We start from the raw sequence: 7221 nt of genomic DNA on the forward strand, positions 1-7221 counted from the left end.
GGTCTTAAAGTATAAAATTTCTAGATAGAAATAAAGATAATTATATGATCTTCCTAACTTTTATTCTTTACTAAATAGATCTGATTGATTTACATTTTATACTTTAAAACATTTAAAATTTTTCCTCCTAAGTCCTAAATACTGGTATTGTTGTGATTTTTGTTTCTAACTGGCTTCCCTTTACCACCAGATTGTCTTGGCACAAAAAAGAAAACTCAGGAGAAATTTTTTATTACAAAAAAAATAGACATTTTCATTCAGAAGGGTTCATATTTTCCTTATTTTTCTACTTTAGATCTGTTCATTCCTTAAAAGACAAATAGGGTTTGAGGCATGAGGAGAAATAGCTTATATCATAAAAGAATTAAGAATTAAAAAAATAAACAAAAATCATCTTACTTAAAGAAACACTGCATTTAGATTCAAATGGCCCAGGCCCACCTGGGCTTTCAGCAGGACTCACTGCTTGGACCAGGCTCCTCCTATTATTAGAACTGTCAGTGCCAGAATTCGGGCCAAATTCCAAGAAAGAATCCTACCTCCAAGTGCTGTTATCATTTTTTAATTGCATATGTCTGCAGTGCCTTACTGTCTGCCACTTAGTATTCCTGCATGTTGCTAAACAGCTGCCATGTTGTTTCCCTAGAGATATGTTCCTGTATATCCTTACCTATTTCACAGAGCTGTTGTAAAGCTTAATTAATTAATGTTTCCTGAATGCCTTGAGGTTTTCAGACAAAAAGTGTTAGGTAGAAAGTGTAGAGAGTCTTATTAAATCTCCAGTTTTCTCCTGGAGATTGAAGTCTCCCACCTGGTCTTGATTTCTAACAGACAGGGCATGTGCCAGTCCCCTGTGCCTTGTCCTGAGGTCACAGTGAAATTTTGGTCTGGCCATCGCATCAACCCAGCCTTCTGAGAGGTGAAAGATTACTCAAAATCTCACATAGGGCTATAGGCCAAGACCACTCCAACCAGTCTGGGTATGATTAAGATGGAATGAATTTTCTCATAGTAGACCACAAAATAACCCTGTAAGATTCTAGAATAAACCTAAAGTTGTTTGATTTTTGTTTTTATGTTTTTTGGTTTTAGCAAAGGATTTTTTTTTAAGTGAAGATTTTCCGATGAGCAAAAAAGAGGCATTTCAAAGAATAAGAAACCAAAGGGCAAAAAAACATATAAAAAGGTACCCAACATTACTAATAAACAATAAAATTCAAATTAAAATCATATTAAAATTCTATTTTCCACCTGTTCTATTGGCCAAACCTTACCATTCTGAGTGTTGACAAGGATGTAGAGCCAAGAGAAATCCTGTAAACTGTTGTTGGGAATACAATTGATACAAGCAATGTTATGAAGTTGAACATGTGACCACTCTGAGGCACATGTAAGGAAATTCTTGCACATGTGCATAGGGAAAACTTTAAAATGTTGATAGCAGCTTCATTTGTTATTGCAAAAAGTAAAAAAAAAGTAAATGCTCATCAATAGTAGAATTTAAAAGTTACGGTATAATCAAATAAGAGAATAATAGCAGAGAAAATAAATGAACTGGAGGTATTGAATAAACATGAAAATATTTCACAAACACAATATTGAACAAAAAACGAAAGTTTCTCTGGAGTACCTAAAGATGATGCCACTTTTGTGATAAGAACATGCCAAACAGTACCATATTGTTTAGGTAGACAAAACGTAAAAGACAAACACATTCTAAGTAGTGCTGCTAGAGCACTGTATTAGTCCTTCCCGTGCTGCTATGAAGAAATACCCGAGACTGGGTAATTTGTAAAGGAATTTATGGTATTTAGGTAGGTAAGAATATGTGTAGGAATGACAAACTCCCAATTCAGGAAACGGGTACTGGTGGGCATTTAGGATTAAGAATACACAAAAGGCTTCAAACGAGTGGTAGCTGGACAGGGGTTAATTATATTATTCTTTATACATTTTTATCTTTATACCTTTTATATACCTGAATTATTTCTTAATAAAAACTACTCACATCAATCAGCAAAAGTATCAAACGATATTGATGGCAGGGGAGTTTACACCTCTGTGAGGTTGGAGGTATATAGGAACTCTCTGCACTTTACATTTAATTTTTCTGTGAACCCAAAACTGCTCTAAAAATAAAATTTTATTAATCAACTAAAGGAAAAACTATTTGTCATTAGCCTTTATATGTTCTGTATAGCCCATGGATTTCATAATAATTTAATATTAAAGAAACGACGGTAGGAGAATCAGCCTAAAAGGCACAATATGGAGAGTTGAAAGAAAGGGACTTGAGAAAGAAAACTAAGTTGTAAGTTCAGCACATCAAGGCCACACCTCCGTGATGTCTGTATGTATGGTGGGAGTCTGTATGCACGTATGTGGGCATGGCATGTGTGGAAGCTTGCTTTAATATGCCTGCCACATTCTAAGTAGTGCTGCTAGAGCACTGTATTAGTCTGCTCTCACGCTGCTATGAAGAAATTCTCGCAACCGGGTAATTTATAAAAGAAAGAGGATTCATTGACTTACAGTTCCGCATGGCTGGAGAGGCCTTAAGAAACTTACAATCATGGCGGAAGGCACGTCTTCACGGGGCAGCAGCGGAGAGAATGAGTGCTGAGCAAACGGGGAAGCCCCTTATAAAACCATCAGATCACGTGAGAACTCACTATCACGAGAACAGCATGAGGGAAACCGCCCCCATGATTCAATTATCTCCACCTGGTCTCGCCCTTGACATGCGGGAATTTTTACAATTTAAGATGAGATTTTGGGTGGGGACACAGCCAAACCATGTCAAGTATGCTTTTATGAAATCTATTATTGTACAGCTGATGTTACAGCTACTTTAGAGTAATTTTCCCCCAGCTCTGGAGCAGTGATTTGCAAAAATTTTTTAGGAGTCCATATAAAATGTCATATAGAATTCAAATATATAAATTGATAAAACTACATTTTCTCTGGCTACAGATATGGTGGGAGTCTGTTTGCCTATTATTCTTGCCACCTCACCCCAAGCACCTGTGCAGAATCCTAGTACTTAATAATTGGAATATAATTGCTCTAAGATAGCACGTTCTCATGTATGTTTTGCAGAGACACCAGTCCTGAGAAATGTTCTATATTAGCGGGATTCCATGATCATACACATTTGAGCTGTGCTACTTGTTCACGGTGCATTCTAAAGGCTCTGAGAAGCCCTGCAACAAAGACACTGATTTCCTCTGTTGAAACTAGTATTTCTCAAGCATAAGTAACCACAGAACATTCTTTCACACGAAATATCTATTAATGTCCCTAAGCACTCTTTTAGAAATGTATGCTTTAGCCCATAAAACAAATGTCTCCTATTAAGATCATTGGTATTTGGTTCATTTCAATATAATAAACTTACAGTTACTAATGAGTCTTAATACTGCCTAAAGCCTTATCTTTCTCAAATGCATTTCTCTAGTACCCTCTCTAGCACTTTTCCTATTAAAGATATACACATTGTAAGTTGGCCATCTACTGTTTTCAACAAATAGATACTGAGTGCTTGTCGTATAGAAGGAATTTTAAATGCAAAGAAACACAAGACCCACACTTCATGTACTTCAATGCCAAGGAGTTCGAAAAGGCTTGTGTTGGATTTTTAAAAAGGCAGGCATTATTGAAAAAATAATGCAGATTCTTCAAGTGTACATTGAACTTAAATAAGTTTGATGTTTCTGCAATGTATCAAGTCCCAAAAACTTTTCAAGTTTATCTTGGATGGCATGCTTAATGGTATGAACATCTGTGACTATAAGTGCTTAAGATAAGCAGATACTTAATAAATATTTATTGAATTAATAAATGAACAAACACACAAACTGTATAGAATAAACACATTTAGAGGCCAGGACAAGACTGAGCCAGACACAGAGAGTAGAAGCAGGGGAAAAGTCTAACGAAGTGGGGAAGATTGGCAATATTCACGAAACATTTTAATGAATCACAGGCCAAGTTTCCATCTAAGCTATATATTTTAATTACCCCTCTCTTTAAAAGAAAAAAAAAGGCTTATTTATTTAAAAAAAAAAAAAAAACTACAATTCCCTTGAAATCGCCCAAGTTTACTATATCCAAATAGGGACTTGAGTGATTTGCAAATGTTTTAGTCTCCTTTATTTGCAAGAACTTATTGCCAAAATTATAGGACATTGGTTTCAGAATTTGTTTCTATAAAAAACTGAAATGTAAAAATAAGATTATTATACAATTTGCCTCTGGAATATGGGAATTTCCCCTCATTTTTGAAAGAAGAAAAATAATTCAAGAAGGTCCTTAACACCATCTCCCCAACTGACCAAAAAACATGCATTTCTCCAGATGTGGGAATTAATGGTCCTCATTTGACTGTATACCCTTGCAAGTTACATGAATAAATGTCATATGAGCAGGATGGTCATTTAACACTAATATATAACATTAATGACCTCAATTGTCCAACTTAAATTGGCCAATTAAAGAAGATAATACTGCAGACCTAAAAAAATCTTTTTGTGCTTTCCTACTTTGACATCTTTATCTGAGCCTTTTTGACATACTATGCACTAACCTCTTCATCCATAACATATAGGCATTTATATATTTTATGCTCCTAGATTCTTCAGCCACTCATTCATTCAATCAATCAAAAAAGTATACAAGGCTGGGCACGGTGGTGCATGCCTGTAATCCCAGTGCTTTCAGAAGCTGAGGCAGAAGAATCAATTGAGGCTAGGAGTTCGAGACCAGCCTGGATAGATCTCGTCTCTACAAAAAATTTAAAATTATCCAGGCATGGTGGTACGTGCCTATAGTCCTAGCTACTCGGGAGGCTGAAGCGGGAGATTCACTTGACCCAGGAGTTCCAGGCTGCAATGAGCTATGATCACACCACTGTACTCCAGCCTGGGCAACAAAGTGAGACCTTGTCTCTAAAAAAATAAGTAAATAAATAAGTGTACGCATAATGAAGAAAACTAAAAGAAATATAAAATTAGTTATTTGCCCTTAGAGAGCTTACAGTCTCATTGCAGATACAAGAGATGTTAACATGTAAAGTTTAATAACAAAACAACTCTGTAACCCATGTGATGTAACAAGAAAATAAATAGTAAGTGTCAAACTTCTAGGATAGAAAAATGCATGGTATGAGCATTCATTTGCCTTCAAATTTAGAAAAGGATGAAGATGCTGGGAGATAAAATAGTCATGAAAATTTTATAGTGAAGAAAACTTGACCTAGTCTGAAGGAAAAGAAAGATTTGGGGAAATTAAACAGAGGTGGTAGAACATTCCCAAGATGGAAATCTTGTGAATAAAGTTTCATAAACTGTCTGAAAATGATTCATACAATTTTGTGGTCACTATGCCACTTTACTGGATTGTATGCAAACATCCAAAATGAGGTGGCTAAACAAAAAAATTTACTAGTAGAAGTCCAAGCAAGAAAGAATGCCAAAAGTGTCAGAAATGGCTCAGCATCTGAGCATAGCTTCCTTTTTGAATTTCATCCTTATCCCTGAGTCCCTAAATATCTAATATTTGTTAATATGTGTTAATGACTTTTTGAAAGAAATGGGTGAGAAAACTGGGAAAGCTGAACCAATTGACAGTGTCCAAAGTTGCATTACATTCCAAAGCATTCATATTATAGAAGTGTCTTCATCCTTCAGCCCCTAGCTAAAAAGTTTTTTTTTTTTACCCTAGGCTTGGAGCATTGGCAAAATTATTTGCCAAAGATAGCGGGATTGGGATATTGGAAGGGATTAGCTCCAAAGCAGATAATTCTTTAGATGAATGTGTAGAAAACTGTAAGAGAATTTCTATTTCTATAATAAAAATACAAGAAATGACATCCTAGACAGACTTGTTGAGTTAGATTTCACTGGGTACCATTTGCTTATAATTTTTAATCACTATTTTCCAAAGTATCTTTCTGAAATAAGCAAAGTAGTCTGCCAAGTTCCTAGCTCAAGTTAGGAGAGCAGAATATAGGTTAAAAAAATAAATTAAGTTGTGTTTATTTTGTAGTATCTAATTATATTGTATTAGCACAAGTTAGGAATACAGGAAAAGTGCTTACCTTAGAGATGATAAGACAATATATGAAGCAATTATAAAGTAATACCTTGTATTTATTTCACATAGTTATATCATGTACTTGGTGTGGTTCGGACTAGAAAACAGTCAGACAGCAGGGGTAATAACGAGAGTGTGAGAACAGGTGAAAGAAGAGCTTTCTAAGTTCTGTTGTTATAGAAGCAAAGACAGAGAAAAAAATTATATGTCATATGTTTATGATAGCAAGAAGACCAGCCCACGTGGAAGAGACAGGAAGTGCTAGGAAATGGGAAAGAGAAAAAAGAACTGGCAAAGTAAAGCAGTAGAGTGGAACAGGGCTTGGAAACCATGGCCTGTAGCCTATTTCTTATAAATAAAATTTTATTGGCCAGGCCTGGTGGTTCACAATTATAATCCCAGCATTTTGAGAGGCCAAGACAGGAAGATTGCTTTAGCCTAGGAGTTCAAGACCAGCCCTGGCAACGTAGCCAGACTCCGTCTCTACCTAAAAAAAAAAAAAAAAGTTTAATTGGAACAAAGCCACATTCATTTGTTTACAGATAGTCTATGGCTGCTTTCACACTACCATGGTAGAGTTGAGTAGTTGGAATAGAGATAGAGAGCCTATGGACCACAAAACCTGAAATATTTATTATCTGGCCCTTTCTAGGAAAAGTTTGCCAATCATTGTAGAAGAACACTCAAATATTTGGGAAGAAGGGAGGGAACAAATGTGGAGCTCTGAAATTGTAACACATAAGTTATTTTTCTTTATACTGCCCCAGCCATACAAATTTTCTTACACTTCCTCAGGCTTCTTAGGTCTTCTGACAAAGGACAGATTAAAGACCTTGGAAAATAGGCAGAAGGATTTCGAGTTCATGCAGAAGATGGTGGAAATTCTAGGACAGAAAAATGATCAACTTGGAAGGTTGAGAATGAGAACAGATAAAGAAAACCCAAAGGAAAGGCACCAGGTAAAATATTGCATAAATCCAAGCAGTGGTCTTCATAAGGAATGGAGGTAAAATAACAATTCAGAGAAACATTTCAAATGATGACTCAAGTCCTGTTGACAAATTGGCATGGGAAAAGTAGTATAAGGTAAAGAACATCAAACTAGGAGTAATAGAATTGGGTTCTAGT

The sequence above is a fragment of the Homo sapiens genome, chromosome 1 (genome assembly GCF_000001405.40).
Source record: "Homo sapiens chromosome 1, GRCh38.p14 Primary Assembly".
Taxonomy (NCBI): domain Eukaryota; kingdom Metazoa; phylum Chordata; class Mammalia; order Primates; family Hominidae; genus Homo; species Homo sapiens.